The 22029-nt window shown below is 39.6% G+C and overlaps 1 protein-coding gene and 1 long non-coding RNA gene across 10 annotated transcripts in view, besides 1 other annotated feature; one reads left to right on the top strand and one right to left on the bottom strand.

Annotated features, from left to right (window-relative positions):
* CSMD1 (CUB and Sushi multiple domains 1) overlaps positions 1-22029 on the top strand; it is a 2059554-nt gene that overhangs the window by 1957747 nt on the left and 79778 nt on the right. For all 5 annotated transcript variants that reach the window (XM_011534752.3, NM_033225.6, XM_011534753.4 and 2 more), the window contains 2 exons: positions 7655-7849; positions 18518-18691. In XM_011534752.3, coding sequence (XP_011533054.1) covers positions 7655-7849; positions 18518-18691 — 369 coding nt within the window. The remainder of the gene's footprint in view (positions 1-7654; positions 7850-18517; positions 18692-22029) is intronic.
* Positions 10634-11135: an enhancer, noted in NCBI's record as "H3K4me1 hESC enhancer chr8:2883555-2884056 (GRCh37/hg19 assembly coordinates)". NCBI's record gives its function as "activates a minimal SCP1, AML or CMV promoter by ChIP-STARR-seq in naive H9 embryonic stem cells {active_cell/tissue: H9 hESC(naive)}" and the evidence as "EXISTENCE:reporter gene assay evidence [ECO:0000049][PMID:30033119]".
* The window catches only part of LOC105377785 (uncharacterized), a 297276-nt gene continuing 288183 nt past the window's right edge, over positions 12937-22029 (bottom strand). For 3 of the 5 annotated variants that reach the window (NR_168445.1, NR_168442.1, NR_168441.1), the window contains 2 exons: positions 17264-17371; positions 12937-15628 (listed from right to left, as the gene is read on the bottom strand). This is a non-coding gene — a long non-coding RNA (uncharacterized LOC105377785). The remainder of the gene's footprint in view (positions 15629-17263; positions 17372-22029) is intronic. The other 2 variants (NR_168443.1, NR_168444.1) reach the window with 1 other exon arrangement.

Below are 22029 nucleotides of genomic sequence, written 5' to 3'. Positions count from 1 at the left end.
ATAAAAAGGAATGAAATAATGTCTTGTGCAGGGACTTGGATGGAGCTGGAGGCCATTATTCTAAGTGAAGTAACTCAGGAATGGAAGACCAAATATCGTTATGTTCTCACTTTTAAGTGGGAGCCCATCTATAGGGATGCAAATGCATAAGAATGATACAGTGGACTCTGGGGACTCAAGGGGATGATAGATAGGAAGATGGGTGAGGGATAAAAGACTACATATTGGATACAGTGCACACTGCTTGGATGACAGGTGCACTGAAATCCCAGAAATCACCCCTAGATAACTTATCCATGTAACCAAAAACGCTTGTACCCCAAAAAGCTATTGAAATAATTTTCTAAAAGCCAAAAAGAAAAGAATCCCATGTTCTTGATTTTGTCTTGGTGGACGGGTTTTTTAAGAGAGGATTGTTGAAATTCGATGGTATGAAACACATTTAAAAGGTCTTAGTATCCTAGTTTTCCCCAAAAACTTTATATTTATTTTTTACCCAAACCAAAGTTGTCTTGTTATTTAGGCTTCTAAGGTACTAGAACTAACACCAGTTTTTCTCTCGCGTGTCCAGTAAGCACAGGTTTTTAGTGCTAGACTGCACACTTTGCTTTAGTTGTGTGTATGAGGAACAGTTATGAGGCTGATTAAATCAGTTTACTCCAATGACATCTAATCATAATTTTATAAATCTCATTAAATGTGCTTCAATTAAAGTTGGTTATAAGAAGCACTTACCCACATTGAGTACGATAGGGGAGACTTCTCTGTTAAGAAACAAAACAAAGCAAAACAAAACAATTGCATCCAGAATCTAGGGGCTGATTAGAATATCACAGAAGATTTATGATAAGTTTCTGAAATTTTTGAGAGAGAAGGGCAAAGGGCTTTATTTATGGTAATCTCACTTCCCTTGTCTAAATATCTTAAAGCAATGTTTATTCTTCTATCCTGTCACTGGCTGAATGAGTCTATAATAAATCAGAATTACTCACGGCCAAATTAAAGGCTGATATTTCTTAAGTAAAATGCAAAGTATTTTGTGTTGTTGCTGAAACACTCACAAGTCAGGGCAATGTGTCTTTTATGCACAGGACTATATATTGTTTATACTTTCAACTGATCTGGATTTGGGAAGCATAATTTAAGGTTTTTAGAACAAAAATGTGTCAACCATATCAACATAGTCAATGGTATTAACCATGTCAAATATTTTGAAATGATCTCCAGTAAATGTTCTCCTGAATTTGTGAAAATTGAAGAAAATTATTCCTTTATAGTTGTTTTCTTTAAGGTAATAGAAGGTAGCCTGTATTTCCTTAAAAATAAAAAAGAAGAAATATAAGGTAAACTGGCAAGTTGAACAATGTCTGTCATGCCAGCTAAACCCTTATGTTTTTGAAAACATTTAATTTTACAAAACTTGACCTGGCAATTTATTCACTTATAATTGTTAAAAATATTGATTTATAAAGTTTATATTAGCAAAACACTTTCTTTTGCTACATTTTCCCAGGTTGACCAAAATTTTAAAACATTCAAGGAGTTTGTTATTCATTTGATATCTGTATGCTAGTATGTTTGGAGCTCTTGTCGATTCAATTCCTGAAACTATGCTTGGAGTTACTCATTTTAGTCATTTGTAGAATAAATCAAATTTTCCCGTATTGTTTCTAGTGTTCAGGGAAAGTGACAAGTCAGAAACACAACATGATGTGAGACCCACAGATGGAAATTCTGGCTTGGTTGGGGTGAGCCTGGGCTTCCTTGCTCCTCTGTAACTTGCAAATAAATACAAATAATAGTGATACCCTCCTTTTCTGTCTCAGTGTCGTTGTGAGTGAGGATCCGCTTACAGTAGAATTACATATACAATTACATACACAATGTGAAAAGAGCTTTTTAAACAGATGCGCGTCTCTGGGAGCAGCCGCGCTCTGCAGTATCTGCCTATGATGGTGGGGGACTGGGGAGTGCTGGCAGGTACAGGGAACAGCCCTGTATCTTAGGAGAGATCTAGCTAAGATATTTTTGTTAGAAAGAACCAAGTGTTTTCTTTAAAAATGTCAGCACAGAGGTACTCAGGCTGTTTCGTGTTGCCTCCTGACTGTAACTCCACTTTGTCTTAAGTCTTAGGGGAGGCGTGCATGTTTACTGCAACTGCCTTTGAGTGTTAGGGCCATCCCTGGGCAGAAATGAGAGCTCAGTAGAAAGCCGTTTCCGAGGCCCTCCTTCCCTTTCTCCACAGTGCCGCTGGCTCACGCTTTGCCTTCTGTGATGTTCGAGTCATATTTTTGCTCCAGTTCTTAACTTCAGCTTCATGTATTCTACCATCCTCTATATTTCTCAGTTTTATCTTATTCCCTAGTCTATAATGTTTAATGTCATGAAATGAAAATGTCCCTATAGACTATATTTTTACTCTCTTTTCACTTTTTCCTCTCTAAGTATGATATTGTGGGAAGAAATAACAAAGTAAGAACATAACAGAAGCATCCTAGTCTTCCTAAATAATCCCTTGTTAAACTATTATGCATTGATTTTTATAACCTTTTGCATTTATGTGTAGTAGGTATATATTAAAATTTATACATACATATAAATTACATATGTACATATATTTATGTGTTTTTATGTGTTTATATATGTAATGTGTGTTTGTATACATATATATTTGTACCTCAAGACAGAAGATTTTTTCACTGGGACTTAGTTGAACTATTTCCAGTTTTTCTTGTAAACAAATAAAGTCCTCTCAGCTTTCAGTTTTTCAGCCTAACTGTAAAATGATGTCTGTGCCTATCAGGCCACTACTCCTAAGTCCCTTTGATCTCTTGGTTGGCTTTTTCTCTGACCATTAGTAATATATAGAAAACCTGGAAACTATGGAAAACAGTTAAAAAAGGACAAAAAAGCATGGGCGATTTCATCAGCCAGAAACCACATCAAATCTTTTTCTTCATTCCAACTATTTTTCTTCTACCTGTTAAGAGAAAACTTTTGACACATGAAATTTAGCAGAGTTTATTTGAGTAAATAGGTGTATCAATCAGGCAGCCTTCAAATCCAGGCAAGGTCCAGAGAGCTCCACCCAGCAATGTGGGCAGCAGCACTGATAGAAAAAGGAAGGCACATGGGGAGGCAGCTGGAGGAGCCACGTCTGGGCACCTGCCCGACTAGGGGGTGGTCTGACTAGTCTGGGGCCCGCGATGGGCTGAAGCAAGGCTGCTGTGATGAGCTGAGACTCAACTCCTTGTTACAACCACATCCTCTTGAGTTGAGTTGCAGTTTGCTGTGTACTGAGTGAGGTTGCAGTTCACTGTGTAGGAATTCAAGGTGTAAAGGTAACTCGAAGCCAAATTTGTTTATTTATTTTTATTTTACTTTAAGTTTATTTTATTTTTATTTTACTTTAAGTTCTGGGAATCATGTGCAGAACATACAGGTTTGTTACATAGGTATACATGTGCCATGGTGGTTTGCTGCACCCGTCAACCTGTCATCTAGGTTTTAAATCCCGCGTGGTTTAAGTATTTGTCCTAATGCTCTCCCTCCTCTTGTCCCTTACCTCCCGACAGGCCCTGGTGTGTGATGTTCCCCTCCCTGTGTCCATGTGTTCTCGTTGTTCAACTCCCACTTATAAATGAGAACACGCGGTGTTTGGTTTTCTGTTCCCGTGTTAACCGTCATTCTCAGTGAGCCAAATTTATTTTAACACTACTTGTCTTGAGGTCTGAAGTCCACAATAGCAATACAATTGATACTACAGCTTGTCTCTTTCTAACAATCAGTAGTGCATGAACAACAATGCTTTATCTGTAGCATCAATTGGTGTCTTACCAATAAAACATTACTTTTGTGTTGAATGTAGATTATCAACAATTTTATCATATTGTTTATTCAATCAATGGTATATTAATAGGAAATTTGCATCTAAATCAAAGAGAATGTTTTCACTGTGAAAATGTGTGGTCACAGGAAATTTAAAAATCGAAGTTTGGTACAGTTAAGTGTTATAGATTATTCATAAAGAACTTTCAAAATAAAATATCTTTAAATTTTTTTTATAGAAACTGTAGCCTAGAATTAATAGTTGGAAGAGAACAAGGAATGAAATAAATTTGTTGAATTTCTTTTAAATGAATATTCAGAAGTGTCAAGTTGCCGTGGTATTATTCTCTTGGACTTGAGTAAAAGTGGTATTTTATTTAATGGCACTTTTACCATAATTTGCATTTCATATACTGGTAATGTCAATGACTTAAACTTATGAGGAAAATTTTAAATTTTTAATGAAGGGTATATAAAGAGATCAGTGTTTTTTAAAAATATTCTTTTAAGGGTGTGCAAGTGAAATTTTGCGCCAAAACTAAGCATTTGACTCTGAAGTAAGGTAGAGGTTGAGGATGCACAGAAGAGGAGAAAACATAGGGAGTTGGGGGGGTTGAGTGTAGACACCTTTGTGAGAGTGTATGTGACAGGGACTGCAGGAAGACACTGTTTTCAGGCTTCTGATGTCAGTGACTAGAAACCACGTACAGGCATGTGAATCAGTAGACTGGGGTAGGTGTTTGGGGGTTGTAAAATGTTCTGTTTTTATTTGAATTCAGTACCCTCTCGCGAGAGTCACAGTTCTGTTATCAGATTTTTGCCACATTATTTTATTGGACCAAGATAAAGGACATTCTTTGGGACAGCCTTATTGACCACAGCAAATCAGGGCCCACCATTCCGTGGGGGCTGTTGGCACTGTTTTTGTATGAACGCAGGGGTGCATGGAGACACAACTGACAAAGACTGTACCTTTTCTACCACTCTTTAGGGAAAATGGTCTGGCATCCTCTTGGTTTATATTATTTGGGATTTCTCCTCCCAAATTACGTCACAGAGTATTCAAACTCAGTTTTTTTTGTATGTTCTCTACCTATCATTCTTAAAAAATATTAAATAAAATGATAATTTGCACAAATTTCTGGAAATCTCCACTCTTCCACTCTCATCCTTCAGTTAACAAAGGACAAGATGGACTTTAATATTAATATTTATTGCAGTCCTCACTTTTCTTTTTACTCCTAATTTCCACTCATACACGTTTCTTTCCTCTCTTTCTTTTGTTGTGGCAATGTATTTTCTTGGCAGGCTATTTTTCAAAGCATACACACATATAATTATATTATGTGTATATATATATATATACACACACATACACACATATAGTGTCTAATTTGTCAGTCACTATACTAAAAAAATGTAAAAAGACAGTGTTTACAATAAATGAGGGTATAGCATAGCCAAAAAAAAAAAAGAGAGATGTGAGCAAATAATCAAACTAGCCTAAGATAATTACAAACCAAACCAAATACCATTTTCATGAAGAAAGAGATCATCATGAAGAACTTGGAAATTGATACTGTAGATGGTATCAGCTCAAAAAATTGTCTGATTCCGTTGTGTGAACCAAATTGGAATTTTTGGCTGGGTGCAGCGGCTCATACCTGTAATCCCAGCACTTTGGGAGGCTGAGCATGAGGATCACTTGACCCAAGACTTCAGGACCAGCGTGGGCCATATAACTAGACCTAGTCTGTATAAAACAACAAGGAAACAACAAAGAAAGAAAGAAAGAACAAAGTTGAGTCATTCTTGGCAGAAATAAAGTTTGTAAAAGATAGTTCAAGTTATTAAAAATAATTTTTTTTTATTATTGTTAGACTTTAAGTTTTAGGGTACATGTGCACAACGTGCAGGTTTGTTACACATGTATACATGTGCCATGCTGGTGTGCTGCACCCATTAACTCATCATTTAGCATTAGGTATATCTCCTAGTGCTAGCCCTCCACCCTCCCCCCACCCCACAACAGTCCCCAGAGTGTGATGTTCCCCTTCCTGTGTCCATGTGATCTTGTTGTTCAATTCCCACCTATGAGTGAGAACATGCGGTGCATGTTTTTGGTGAAATTAAATGCATTTTATTTGAAATATGCAGTCAGATTCAAGTTGAGTTATAAATTTATGAGGCTAAAAGCCTTTAAGGGCTTTTCAGAAACAGTTTTGCTAGAAATTGTAAGAGTATTTTGGCTGGAGAAAAATATTATTTTTATCATTAGGTTAAACATTTGAATCTTCTTATAAATTTAGAATAATTCCTTCAACCTAAAAAAATACTTGAGAGAAAGAAACCTAAGGATTACTTTTAAATTAGCAATTTTTCTTCCCATTTTAGACTTCATTGTTACTGTTGTGATGATATCAAAAAGAGCCACATTTTTCTGTATATTTTTATATAGTACTTGGAAATTACTGAGAAAAGACTAATCAAGATTTTTGTAAAATTTTGGTTATGCCTGACTCAATTCTAATAAACTTGTATAGAATTTGAATATAGGCTTGGTGTAGTGGCTGATTCCTGTAATCCCAGCACTTTGGGAGGCCAAGGTGGGTGGATCGCTTGAGGTCAGGAGTTCAAGAGCAGCCTGGCCCACGTGGTGAAACCCCATTTCTACTAAAAATACAAAAATTAGCTGGGCATGGTGGTGGACATCTGTATCCCCATAGTCCCAGCAACTTGGGAGGCTGAGGCAGGAGAATCGCTTGAACCCGGGAGGTAGAGTTTGCAGTGAGCCGTGATCATGCCACTGCCCTCCAGCCTGGCAGCCTGGGAGACAGAGAGCGAGACTTTGTCACACACACAAAAAAAGAATTTAAAATATAACACTATGATTCTGAAAATAGCTATAGTCTCTCCAGTTAATTCTTCCCAGCTCAATAAATTAATCAATTTGATCAATTTTCTTGGTGGTTGATTTTAATGAATGATAGCTACTAAATCTTCGTAATTAGAGAAATGGTTCTGGTTTCTAATTTTGTGTAATGTATTTTAAATCATCTTGCACTTTTCAAAGAATATGTACCCACATACAACTCAGACTCTGTATATATTTTCAGTATATTTAGAAAGTCCTTGAAGTCCACCCTGGTAATAGTATACTACTACTGCTACTACTGTTGCTGTCACTATTACAATTGCTACTACTCTTTCTTAAGTAACTGCTATATTCTAGGCCCTTTTCTAAGGACATGAATAGATGGTCTCCTTTAAGACTTGTTAAACATTTTTGGAAACAGTATTAGTGCAGTATGCCTATGTATTTCTGTGTGTTTCTACATTCAATGATATATAGATATATTATATATGTGTGTTTCATAGGTTTGAAGAAATGAGGGCATCTGAGTTTCTGAAAATTAGTGTCCCAGCTGGTTTGCAATTACACAATTACTATTCCAAGTTCCTCCAAGGATATTGAGGGAAATTATATGTAAGATTTTTATTTGCATATGCTCATTACCCTCATGAAAATTTTCATCAACTTCAATGAGCCATATACTTTTGTGGAAGTGATTTACCCCCTTTACAGTTCAGTCTGACTGCAGACTTCCCAGGACATCTGTAGTGAGGCAATTGAATGCATTTTACATATGGGATCATTCCCATATGTCTATGTGGGTGGTAGAGAAACACTGAGATAATACGTAATGGCATCAACTTTGCCAAACAAGATCAGTTTCATATAGCAAGACCTTGCCATCCAAAGCAAGCACGGTCTGATGTTTTCCAAAAAAGAAAAATGATGATGTGATGTACGTTTCCCTTCCAGCGGTCGCTTGCCCCAGCATTGAAGCTCAGCTCTCAGAACATGTCATCTGGAGGCTGGTTTCAGGATCCTTGAATGAGTACGGTGCTCAAGTATTGCTGAGCTGCAGTCCTGGTTACTACTTAGAAGGCTGGAGGCTCCTGCGGTGCCAGGCCAATGGGACGTGGAACATAGGAGATGAGAGGCCAAGCTGTCGAGGTAAGTGATGAGGGAGGCACCCCTGAAAGTCACGGCATCCTAGATTATTCTAGATGGCTTATGTCAGTGGTGAGCTTCTCTAGTGGAGCTATCATCTACCATAGTCCTATAGATCAAAAGAACAAATGGCCTGTCTTTTCATTGCGATGTGAATATGTATTGTCATGTGACATACTTAAACCACATTGCTGCTCGATTAGGCATTTGATGTTGTCTTTTCCTTGTTAATAATTGTATTTCTCCAACTGTATTTCAAATCAGCTCAAAGACAAATACAAACCTATGTGTAAAAAGATAACTCTTACGCCATAGACAGACTATTCAAGAGTTCTAATTGGGATCTTGGGAAATAGTATGAATGCTGAAGATATTGTGTTCTCAAATAAAGACTGTTTTCACAAGGGAGATGATTATTCTCTTAGGTACAAGATAAGCAGTTAAAGCTTTCAGTGAGTTTCACATTAAATATGGTGAAATAGAAAAATAAAACAATGCTAGTATTGTTCAGAGCACTCTGAATCAGATGTGTCTAGTATACAATCTTTACTTGATTGTTCACAGAAAATTATCATGCATAAAAACAAGTAGAATAGTGTATAATTTATAAAATACACAGCTTGGTAAGAATATGCCAGAATAAAAATTGAAAAAGACAAAAGCATGAATGTTTAACTGTCTTTGATAATAATTTTAATTCAACTTTTAATAGAACAAATGTTAATGAAACACGTACCACAAGCTCTTCACCAGGAACACAAAGATAAATCAGGAAGGATTGCTGGCCTCAGGGAGCTCAAAGCTTTCATAATCGTAATGAACATGGTCCCCGTTTCTCTAAGATAGCCCTGCCTGAAGCCTGTTTTCCAGGTGTTTATTAGTGATTGCTTGTCACTCTGAACGGTGTCCTGGTTTGGATGGGTAATGACCTGGTCACTGAGTTTGCAGAGCCGTTCCTCTTTGTCACACCTTTGCAGCTTAGGAAATGCCCCCCTTCCCGACATTCTTGCCAGTCGTGCACAGATTTTGTCACCTGGAGATTCCAGCATTAGCACCGGTAAGGAGAGATTAGGAGAAGGAGTCAGGAACTCTAACCTTTTGCCTATTTTAGACTCTTCCCGCCAACATCATCTTGTCGATTTCAAACCAGAAATAGGATCTTAAAAACAGACACTTATTAATTTCTTCCAGGTGGGGTTTTACACAGGGCTTCTGCGGCTGGCACAGCGCAGTACAGCGTTTTCTTGTCTCTCTGATTTCCCAGGGATGCCCACCTACGGTGTCCCTGTCTTCCCAGAGCAGGGCCGTGCCAAATGGTATTTGCTGCGTGACAATCTTCCATGCTCACAACTCAGCGTTCCCGAAGAATTTTCACGTACAGTGGAGAGCCTTCTCCTTAAGGGAATGTTAACAAAAACCTCATTCCTGAACTAAACTCATTAGTAGCAAGGCGTTGACCTCATCTTGGGAAAGAAAGCAAAGGTAGAGCTCTGCTGTCCTTGAACGGTGTTTCTGCTTCCAGCTTCTGAAATTCTAGAAAGTCTGTTTTCCTGCCTCTGGTTTTATCAACTGTATTCTGGTGTTTCTGACACGGAGCGGGGTCCAGTCACAACCCCCACACATCATTTATCATCACATGTCTAGGTGTCTCGGGCCACAAATTTGTTTTCTAAATTGTCAGCTGCCTGCTGCTTGCGGGCTGGGCACGAGCTGTTCTATCACACTTTGCTATTTGTCCCTTGAATGTCATCGTGTACACGTGGCATTTTCCAGAGTCACTGGATTCCAGCTGAAATCATTGTTGACTTTTAAAAAAATGATTTTATTAATATCTGTAGCTCAGGTTGTGACACTTTGGCCGGGGAGTCCCTTTTACACAGCTTTTTCATTTGGTCCCTCTAACATCTCTGAAATGGTCCTTGTTTTCTCATAAAAACAGGATGTTGTATGGTTATCTGGAATTTTTCTTACCCAAACACATTGTTCTCCAAAAAGCCCTGGTATCGTCTGGTGGAGAATGGTATCAGAGAACCAATTCCACACCAGGGAATGCAGTGTGCTGGGGAAAGCTGACATGGAGTATATTGTTACTTTTGTGACCAAACTGAAATTTTCTGCTTTGTCTTTTTTTTCCCCCCAAAAGGCCTGATGTTGATATTGTCAATTTATTCTTATATCTACTATATATATTTTAAACATTTAAAAAAATTTTTTAAATTGTACTAATACAGGGCTTGTCAATCTTTTTTTCTCTTTTTGGAGCATAGGTTTGCCGTCTTAGATGTCGTAGTGTGTGACTTTTTGTTTAAATTGGGATGCTGGCTAAAATTTACAAGCCTTAATGGCCGCTTTCTCCTCTTTTTATCTCTTGCCTCAATGTTTTGGAAATGACATCAGAGTACAGAAGTCTAGAAACCCCTTTACCAAGGTCATTCAGCAGACCCTCTATGGAAGGGATAGCCCAGCCTCTTTGAAGGCAACTGTTCTCAGGGGTTTTCATAAAATTTTTATTTTTAAAATTTGAGGACCTGTGTTAGTTATTGATTGCTGCATAACTAGTCACCACGTGCTAAGGGCCTCATGATAACACAGATTCGCTACGGCCCAGCTTCTGGGCTCAGATACCTGGCACATTTTGGCTGGATCCTCTGCTCACGGTCTCACAGGGCAGAGTTCACGGTGTTGACAGGGCTGGAGGCCCGGTGAGGTCCAGTGAGGTCCAGTGAGGCCCAGTCAAGCCCAGTGAGGTCCGGTGAGGTCCAGTGAAGTCAGTGAGGTCCAGTCAGGCCCCGTGAGGCTGAGTGAGGTCCAGTGAGGTCCAGTGAGGCCCAGTCAAGCCCAGTGAGGTCCAGTGAAGTCCACTGAGGTCCAGTCAGGCCCAGTGAGGCCCAGTGAAGTCCAGTGAGGTCCAGTCAGGCCCAGTGAGGCCGAGTGAGGTCCAGTGAGGTCCAGTGAGGCCCAGTGGGCTCCAGTGGGATCCAGCGAGGTCCAGTGAGGTTCAGATCAGCTTCCCAAACCTGGCTCCTGGGCAGAGTTCATGTCCTTGTGGTGTGTGGCTGAGGACCTGATGTTATTGCTGCTGCTGATGGGGAAATACTAAGCTCCTGGCCCTCTGTCCCCCACCCCACCAGGCCCTCTCCTGAGTCCAATCTCTCTGACTTCAGGAAGGACTTAGTTCCTGATAAGGGCTTCCCTCACCAGGCTGTTCCCATCCAAATCATCTCATTTTTTATTAACTCAAAGTCAGCTGACTCCTAACATCCTCAGAGTTCTGCCCTCACTCAGGGGGAGAGGATTTGAGGAGATGTCTCGACTCAGGGGTGGGACACGTAGGGACCACCTTCGAATTCTGCCTACCACTGGACCCCAAAGACCTTTTTATAACTATATCATACATTAAAAACTATTATTATTTTAAAATATTGATTTGTTAATTTATTTACACTAAAACGGATACAATTTTACGTATTAATTTAAAATAACATATCAATTACATGCTCACATAAGTAACACATTTTTATGAACAATAAGGATTCATTTTCAAACAAAGCAAAAATTAATGTGAAGAATGTCATCATTTTAAAATTTTTCAAAGCCCCTTAATGTGTGGCTTAATACAGGGTGGCTGGATTCTCAGCACCTTCTGCATTAACTTTGTCAAAGTTTGTTGTTTTGGTGGAGATATGTAAAATAAAATATATTGATGGTTGGTAGTGTAGTCATTGGAAAGGGAGATGCTTGTTGACCGCTAAAAGAATATCAGAGAAGTCCAGGAGTTCTTGGATCCCATTTTTAGAAGAGCTGTTTCGGAATAACACCACACAATACACAGTTTCAGAATAACACCACACAATACACAGTTTCAGAAGAACACCACACAATACACGGTTTCAGAATAACACCACACAATACACGGTTTCAGAATAACACCACACAATACACAGTTTCAGAATAACACCACACAATACACGGTATCAGAATAACAGCACACAATACACGGTTTCAGAATAACACCAGACAATACACAGTTTCAGAATAACACCACACAATACACAGTTTCAGAATAACACCACACAATACACGGTATCAGAATAACACCACACAATACACAGTTTCAGAATAACACCACACAATACACGGTATCAGAATAACACCACACAATACACAGTTTCAGAATAACACCACACAATACACAGTTTCAGAATAACACCACACAATACACAGTTTCAGAATAACACCACACAATACACAGTTTTAGAATAACACCACACAATACAGGGTTTCAGAATAACACCGCACAATACACGGTTTCAGAATAACACCACACAATACACAGTTTTAGAATAACACCACACAATACACAGTTTTAGGGCACGTGTATCCAAGGCACAGGCAGGCAGTACACAAAGCAGTGGAGGGAACAGTACGAACAACAGTTGTCTTGTGTTTCCCTCCAACATGGATTTTCATGAGTACTAGTGTCATTATCTATGTATGTTTCACAACCAGCTTTAGTGCAATATTCAATATTCTTGATTTTATTTACTTGGGACAAATATTGAGTTCCTCAACATGGTAACCATCTACTCTCTTGAAAGTCACTTAATAGTATCAGAGAAAACACAGGCAATGTGGTGGTGAGAATTACACCACCTTTAAAACTTTACTCACCCAAAAGAAAGTGAAAAACACAATTTTTAAAAACTTAAAATGTAGGCTAGGCATGGTGGCTCATGCCTATAATCACAACACTTTGGGAGGCCAAGGCGAGTGGATCACCTGAGGTCAGGAGTTTGAGTCCAACCTGGCCAACATGGTGAAACCCTGTCTCTACTAAAAAATACAAAAATTAGTCCCGTGTGGTGGCATGTACCTGTGATCCCAGCTACTTGGGAGGCTGAGGCAGGAGAATCGCTTGAACCCAGGAGGTGGCAGTTGCCGCGAGCTGAGGTCCCATCACTGCAATCTAGCCTGGGCGACAGAGCAATACTCTGTCCCCAACCTCCCCCACTGCCCTCCCCCCCCAAAAAAAACCTCAAAATGTAAACATTATCTGGGATCTACAAGAAAAAAATCAATAAACACATTAATTCATTTTTTCTGTAACACATTTTTATTTCATTCTATGCTTAAATTACATTTATCTCTCATGTTTCCTACTTTGCACACACATACACACACACACACACCACACCATGAATCCTGGTAATAATATAATTTACTATTAAATAAGTGTGTGATAAACCCCAGGAAATTAAAACATAATTTAATTCCTTAATTAAAAGTAATGAACATGACACATTTTTGTAAGGCCAATTTTCCACACTGTGCTAGCTTCTTCATAGAAGATACACAGTGTCACTCTCTATGTTCTGTTGGATCAGGACCAACGGAATCTTCAAGGGTAGCATCACCCGAGTCATTGGTGCAGGTAAGGAGCAGTCATTTTCCTTTTTTTTTTTTTTTTGACTCCCCAGTGTTCATTTTAGAGTGGCCCTGCTTGTAAGATCTCCCAGAAATTAAATGTTTTCAGTTACTTATTTGCTTAGGAGCTGGAAATAGAATTTCCCTTTCTGCTTGTCTAGGTAGCTCCAGATGAAGAGGTGAGCCTTGATCACCTATTAATCACATTCATGACAACTGTGGAATCCGCTGAGAAATTTACCACTTTTTGAAGGGTTTGTGCTGTTCTAACTCCAGGCTACTTTAATATGTCCCTAGAGAAAAACTCAGGTCTCCATGAATGAATGGACAGGAGAGCATAGTCACCCTTAAACAGTGAGCTCTGCAGTCCTGTCCTTCAAGAAACAATAAGAGAAAGTTAAAATTGAATATGTAGAGGCGGCTACACACCTTCCTAGCACAAAGTCTTTACACAAGTAGAAGGCTCTTACTCTTGTCTTATTACATTTATTTATTGTTCGACTTACTGTTCATATTTAAAAAGAAAAACATTTATCACAGAAATCCCTGAACCAGAAAAAATAATTTTTGCATTTTTAATTTTATACACACACACTGACTCAGTGAGCTACACTGGAATTTTGTAATATTGTAGATATTCAAAGAACATGGCCTAAATTCTGGGCTGTCTGTGTCCGGGCTGGTCTTTGAAGATCTGCTGTTTGTTACTGGAGGCAGGCCTGGATTGATCATTAAACGTATGGGAGCCTGTGTTTATCAGCAGATGTATTTCGTCTATATCCGAGGAAACCACAGCGTAGTCATTGTCATTTCGTTCCATTGCTGGAGTGGACATTGGACATCACTCAGGACTACCTGCAGTTGAATTTTCTTGATAATATTCTCACAAGTCAATGCCCAGCTAACATCAAATAACTGTAGTGACAGCTCATTGCCCCAGAGACAGCTGATTTCATGTTTGAACATTTTTACTTTGTGCCAGGCTTCCTATGTGACTTATATCCAGTGATTGATGGTAGCTCTATCTCTCTAGGCCTAATAAAACAATTCCTGACTCTGATCTATACGGAGTGCCTTCGTGTATTTGCAAACAGCCATTGTGAGTCCACTGAGCCTTTTATTCATATTAAAGAGCCCCTCCCTGCTCACACATTCTCTTGCCAGCTGTTTATTCTTCATGGAGGTCTGCATGTTCATTTAGCTTTTTTTTTTTTTTTTAGCTAGAATGTATTTGAAAAGACCTACTCTTGAGTTTATGTTTATTTGTCACACTCACAAGTAATATTCATATTTCTGATAGGAGTGCTGTCCTTACAGGTATGAGAACTGATATGTCACAATACAAGTGTTTTTTAAAGTTGATATATTTCAACGTGAATATAATCATAGAATTGAAGGAGAGACAAAAAAGAGACTTTCCTGTGGGAACAGAGGCTAGTGGCTTGGAATCCCCAGGGACAGTGAGAAAACACGCTGTCGATGTGGGATTGCACGTGCATTCCGGACGCTGTGGGATTGCGGGTGCATTCCGGATGCTGTGGGATTGCGGGTGCATTCCGGATGCTGTGGGATTGCGGGTGCATTCCGGATGCTGTGGGATTGCGGGTGCATTCCGGATGCTCTGGATGTGGGATTGCGGGTGCATTCCAGATGCTGTGGGATTGCGGGTGTATTCCGGATGCTGTGGGGCTGCGGGTGCATTCCGGATGCTGTGGGATTGCCGGTGCATTCCGGATGCTGTTGGATTGCAGGTGCATTCTGGATGCTGTGGGATTGCGGGTGTATTCCGGATGCTGTGGGATTGCGGGTGTATTCCGGATGCTGTGGGATTGCGGGTGCATTCCGGATGCTGTGGATGTGGGATTGCAGGTGCATTCTGGATGCTGTGGGATTGCAGGTGCATTCCTGATGCTGTGGGATTGCAGGTGCATTCCAGATGCTGTGGGATCGCAGGTGCTTTCCGGATGCTGTGGGATTGTGCATTCTGGATGCTGTGGGATTGCAGGTGCATTCCGGACGCTGTGGGATTGCGGGTGCATTCCGGATGCTGTGGGATTGCAGGTGCATTCCGGATGCTGTGGGATTGCGGGTGCATTCCAGATGCTATGGATGTGGGATTGCAGGTGCATTCCGGATGCTGTGGGATTGCAGGTGCATTCCAGATGCTGCGGGATTGCAGGTGCATTCCAGATGCTGTGGGATTGCAGGTGCATTCCGGACGCTGTGGGATTGCAGGTGCATTCCGGAGGCTTTGGGATTGCAGGTGATTTCCGGATGCTGTCAGCCAAGTGTCTTTTTTGTGCAAAGACTTGCTCCCAGAGTTCAGAGGAAGCACTGCGGACTGTGAGCGTGGACACACTTTTAATGAAATGAAAAAAAGGCAAACGTAAGCAATTCATTTTTAGAAACTTCAGAGGAAAAAGAACATAAAAATAAGGCTTTCCCTTCGGTGTATGACAAAGCCTATTTTTAGTAGTGAGGGGCTTCCCCTTTTCAGTCAGGCAAGATTTCCGAGTTATTGCTGCTATCTTTATTAATGCATTGAGTTTACTACCATACAAGGAAACTCTGGGTCTGAAATTCTATTATTCAGCTACTGAAAAGCTAAAATTTTGCTCCATTACTTCTTCTTTACAATTGAGTAAATCTTGTTAGAGGACAAACTTAAAATAGTTTTGTCACCAGAATATTTTTAACAGAGGCTTCAACAATAGAAACAGCCATACGAGCAGAGGGAGGTGGTCTTGCTTCTCTACCATTGAAGGCGAAGGTGCGCTGAAACCTCCAAGAAGAATTCGACTCAGACCTCATTGTTATTTTCTGGCAAGCATGGAAGTTTCAAGACAAGATCCAATTATCTTAAATTGCTACAAATGGATCTTTAAATATCATAGTTGAAGGACAAGTTCACCCTGTTTGGGAAAAGGCTTAATGAAAAGTTTATAACAAATTGTAAAAATCTAAATCCTACTCGAGTTCATTAACATTTGGTAGAGCAAACATATTAGCATATTACTAAATGCAAACGATATGACACTGTAATAGTTTAGCAATCCCCAAAACCAATAAATCGTGGAGGCTGTCTCAATAACAATAGTGTGCTGGTCGTGATGGACTCTCGAGTTGGACCTCCCAATTTCTGGTAGTGCACCCCACAGAAAACTCAGTCTGGGTGTCTCTGTCTGAACATTTGAGATAGAGCCTCGGTTGTCCTATCATAACATGGAGTAAAGACAGCTTAATTAAAAGGTCTGGGGCTTCTGGGAAGGCCAAGATGGGAGGATTCGCCTGAGCCCAGGAGTTCCAGACAAGCCTGGACAACACAATGAGACCCCCATCTCTACAAAAAATAAATTAAAAAAATAAATAGCTGAGCGTGGTGGTGCCCATGCACTAAGGTACTTGGGAGGCTGAGCAGAAGGATGTCTTGAACCCAGGAGGTCAGGGCTGCTGCTGGGAGCTACAATTGTACCACTGCACCCTAGCCTGAGTGACAGAGCAAGACTCTGTCTACATAAACAACAACAAAAGGGCTGGTTTTAGTGGTACATGCATCACTTTATTTTCCTCACTTGAATTATCTCTAAAGGTTTTTCTACTTTTGGTTCAATTGACTAAATAGGTCCTGATTTATACTTTCATTGTTAGTTAACCCTGATTAAGCCTGCTTATGTGCGAGGGATGGCTTCCGTTTGAATCTAATGCACAAGCCTATGCAGTAGGAGCTATTATCAACCCATAACAGGGCCCAGAGACTTAGAAAATTGGCAAGTGCTGCCTGGCTCCTGTCTGGCAGAACCAGACCCTGGGTAGCCTACAGCCAGAATCCGTGTTCTTCCTCACTGTGCTTTACTGCCTCTTGTGGTTTACTGTGAATAAGGAAGAACTCGATGTTTGCCACTGCAGGCTGCAGCGAAGCACCCTGCACATCAGTGCTCACCTAGCACTCTTAATGCTTGCTTTGAATAGCTTTTCTAACACTTTCATTCTTACCTGTTCAAAACATATTTCAGCCTCTGATGATAGGTTGGGCTGGATAACCTTGTGAGTTCCTCCCTCCCCTGAGAGGCCATGATCTTCTGTGCTCAAGTGTTTCTGAATCTGAAGAGCAGAGATTTCAGTGGTGTAGTAAGAATATATAATGAGGGTGACCATTAACTTGTTTGCCAAACTGGAGTACTTTCATGAGTGAAAATGGACACGATCAATAACTGTGCTAAGACGGCAGGTGTAAACATGGGGCATAGGGTCACCCCATCGACACCCAGTTAAGGTCTAGTTTGTATGCACGTTTTAGTTTGTGGAAAGCCTCCAAATGCCCTGTGTAGTCAGCATTCTTACAGAGCTCATGAGCCCAACAAATTATGCAAGTAACTAAAAAAACAAATAAACTGAGCACTGCTATTGCATTCCGAAGTCCTAGATTTTAATACCACACTACTTTGTCCCAGCTGATGGGCTTTGGTGAAGAAAATTGGTATTCCTTATTTCCTGATAGGCTCCTGAGGCTTCTGGTAATTACTACTATGTAATTCTTGGGATTGATATGGAAAGAAAGGTAGAGAGATAGACAATTTATTTGATTGACACGCTTCTGCATTTATACTTTGTATACTGTGTATTTTTTCAAGAATGGTTCAGCTATACCTGTCAGGATGGTAATAAAAATAACATTAATGGGTCGAGGCACAGTGGCTCACGCCTGTAATCCCAGCAATTTGGGAGGCTGGGGTGGGAGGATCACTTGAGGTCAGGAGTTTGAGATCAGTCTGGCCAACATGGCAAAACACTGTCTCTACTAAAAATACAAAAATTAGCGGGACATGGTGGCAGGCGCCTTTAATCGCAGCTACTCGGGAGGCTGAGGGAGGAGAATCACTTGAACCGGGGAGGTAGAGGTAGCAGTGAGCCAGGATAGCGCCACTGCACTCCAACCTGGTCAACAGAGTAAGACTCCATGCCAACAACAACAACAAAAGTTAATGGGTAATTGGAGGAATCTAGAATGTTTTGGAATCCACGTTAAGCTTTTAGGTTTTTGTTTCAGGAGCATAAAGATGGAAAATTAAGCTTCTTAAGTGACTGGTCTATCCAGCCCTAAGCAGACACTCTCAACCATGTTCTTAGTGAAAATTAAGACTAAAAATAGTTTTTTGGTTTTTTTTGTTTGTTTTTGTTTGTTTGTTTGGAGCACAGGAGTAATCTGCATAACTGAATTGATGTTCATTTTATTGTTTTTCCTTCTAGTTATCTCGTGTGGAAGCCTTTCCTTTCCCCCAAATGGCAACAAGATTGGAACGTTGACAGTTTATGGGGCCACAGCTATATTTACGTGCAACACCGGCTACACGCTTGTGGGGTCTCATGTCAGAGAGTGCTTGGCAAATGGGCTCTGGAGCGGCAGCGAAACTCGATGTCTGGGTAAATTCATCTGTGTTCTGGCACTTACTTAATGCAGATAAACCTTAGAAATAGATTACAGCTGTGTAACACATATGACTTCTTGCTATAATGCCTTAAATCCTACCTGGGGTGGAAATGCTGCACCTCCCAGTGTGATTTTTTCTTTGAGTATCTACAGGGATTTGTTTTTAATCCGAGCAATGAATGAAAGTCATATATTGCCTTAAGTGCCATAAAGGCAATCTTGCAAGAGTGCTGAGAATGTACCTGCACTCAAATGCCATCATGGTTTTAGGACACACAAAAATGAATTTCAAAAATATTGTACATTTTATGTTTTTAAAAATTTTAAAATTATGTCAATGAATTGAAGTTATATTCATCCAAATTGACATAAGTACAGTGAATTATTTAAAATGCTATATGTCTACAATAATGTAGTCTTCTTTTTTCAAAAACTTAAAATATTCTGCATAATTTAAAAAATGGATTGAAAAATGTTTCCATTGGAAAATTCTTTGAATAAGTGTATGAAAAATCTTGAATAAGCAGTTTAAAGAACAAGTATTAGTAAAGAGTGATCTTAGTAGGTCTGCTGGTGATTTGTAAAATACCTTACTTGCCTTTGGTTCTTCTGAACCTTCTCCACGCGTTCTTCCTTTTTTTTTTTTTTTTTTTTTTTTTTTTTAAATCACTCAAAGCCATAGAAACTGGGAGCTTTAAGCTTCTGAATCTGCATGGGCAAAGATCACTTCAGGAACTAAGCCAGGCCCAGTAAACTTCAAATAGCAAAACCTGTTCTTCTTTTCATTTGGGAGAATTTGAAGAAACAAGATGAAAGGACAGTAGTAACCCTAGAGAAAAACCAACCACCAAAAGGAGGTTCTCACACTTGTCTGTGAAACATTATCTACTTATTTTAAATCACTGCAGGACTTACAGGAATGCTGCTTGGTTTCTCACACTCTTTCTCACTCTGTCTAGTGTATTATGTAATATATTTAGTGCATTATATATTATTGAACACAATTATATATATGAGTGTGTGCATATGTGTCTGTCGTTGGGTGTCCTCATTACAGTTTTCAGTAGACGATGACATTTCCTTGGACTATGTATGCTTCTTCATGTAGAGAGTCACAAGTCCTTCTAGGAGTTTCCATGCATTCCTAAATATCCTTCTGAAATTGGCTATGGAACAGCACTCTCCTTTAGGCAGCTTTGATATGGACAAGCTCTTCTGCCTGGAGCTTGGTCCTCTGAAGGAGCCCAGTTCCACTGGGAGGGAGCTAGGTGGTCCGAGACACTCACGTCTGACAGTATGTACCACATCTCTATTAGTAATTGTAAACATGAAAATTAACAGCAACTTACAGTTGATTGCTGCTCTACTGCTTACAAACATCCGTAATCTCATCCTTTTGGTCATTACCAATACAGGATGCAGGAAAGGCCTTCGTTGGTGCTTTGGGAGATTAAGTGATACATTCAGTTTACATAACTGTTAAATGATGGGTCAGCTTGGGGATTATTGATCCCTGATAAGCCTTTATCTATCTTGTGTTATTCTTGTGTCTGAAAGTTAGGGTTTTGGAGTAGAAAGGATGAGATAAATGTTGAATAGTTGGCTGCCTGGAGATGCCCCCAAACATGTCTCAGTGCTATGCAATACATCTTAGCAGCTTTTGAAAGATGATTCACTCAGAAATGAGTCCATTTGCTCAGAGGAAAATAAGGAAGAAGAAAAATGCCCAGGTTATAATATATAAAACATTTGTGTTGTAGATATTGGATACAGCATATAAGGAATAATAAAATTGGAAGAGACATAGAGTATTTAAAGGGAAAAAATAGAAAAAGATTAGAAATGACACATACATATGTACATACTAATGGGTAAACCATGAGTAATTCATTTAGCACAAACATTTTGAAAGTTAATAAATATAGTTTTTGCAGCTACCACTGTAACGGAAAGGGTTGAGATTCATAACGTGTGAAGCATGGTAATGAAGCATATTCCTTTATCAAAGACATCTTTTGCTGGGGGGCGACAGCATGTGAAACTCAGCAAGAACATATGTCCACAAGAAACCATAAAGTTGCATGTGAGACTCAGAGGAAAATAGGGATGAGTGAGTAAAAAGGTAGGAGAACAGAGATGATATTGCTTGAGTAGATTGTATGACTCTAAGATAGATGAAGGGAACAGAGGCTGCAATCCTAAATCTACACAAATATTTAGTAGAGTAGCAAATGGATACCTCCATAATCCAAATATCAACTAGGTGCCATATTTGGAGGCAGGTTATAAATGATGATATTTTTTGATGATTTAAAATGCACATGGCATTTGTGAGATTTATCTGATTAGAACGTACAGGAAGTGCTTATTCCTTCGACCTGCAGATAAGAAAGAAAGCATAGAGAAGTACAGAATTTGCCCAACATCATAAAACCAAGAATACTATCATGCTAATTCAGACCAATAAGGAGGAGTGTGTTGTGTTAACTAGAAGTGAAATGAGCTCTGGAACCTGGATTAGTCCCCTCTGGAGGCGCATGCAAGGGGCAGGTGCAAGGGTCTTTGTGCCTTAGTTCTGCCTGGCTAATTGTGTCCTTCATCCTGTACTGCCAGGATGCTGACACGCTCTCGCCTATCAGTCTTGCTATTGCTTTTCTTCCATCTCTTAACTTGTTATTTGAATTAACCCTTTCCCTGTTTCCATGGTTACGGCTCTTTTGAAAATCACTTTGGGTTTCCACCAAGTTAAATGTCCTTGAGTAACCTTCAGGCTCATCTGGACCATGCCGGGGTAAACGAGATACTTGTAGTGGGGAAATGACTGTTACTAAAGATGCAGTTGGTAAGGAGATATATATATATATAATTTCACAAGACGCCATGTGAGTTTGGGTCCTTTTTTTTGTTTACTATTGTTATGAGATGGGTATTCATAAGTACTATTCAGAAGTGATTCTGAATCAAAATATATATATATATTCTGAAAACTGTGTCTATATAATCATGGCTTCAACTCTAAAAATGATGACCCCTTGACAAAACAAAACAACCCCCAAAACTATGACTTTAAAAAGCAAATCATCCAATCAGGAAAAAATGGGAAATTACCCAAACAAACAGAGACAGCTATACCAGATTTTCTGCAAGAAATTCAATTTTCAAGCAAAGCAACTGTCCCAGGACATGTTGAAGAGAATGCAATGCGTTTTTAAAGAGAGTGTCCGGAGGGACAAATCCACCACAAACTGGAAATGATGTGAAGGGTGAGGAACCCCAAGAGAGCTGCCTCAGTTATGCTTGAAACAAGAACCAAATTCATTCTTGAAACTGG

This window comes from Homo sapiens, chromosome 8 (genome assembly GCF_000001405.40).
Source record: "Homo sapiens chromosome 8, GRCh38.p14 Primary Assembly".
Classification (NCBI taxonomy): Eukaryota; Metazoa; Chordata; class Mammalia; order Primates; family Hominidae; genus Homo; species Homo sapiens.
Note: the sequence above shows the minus strand (reverse complement) of the source record. Positions and strands in the feature narration are given on the sequence as shown.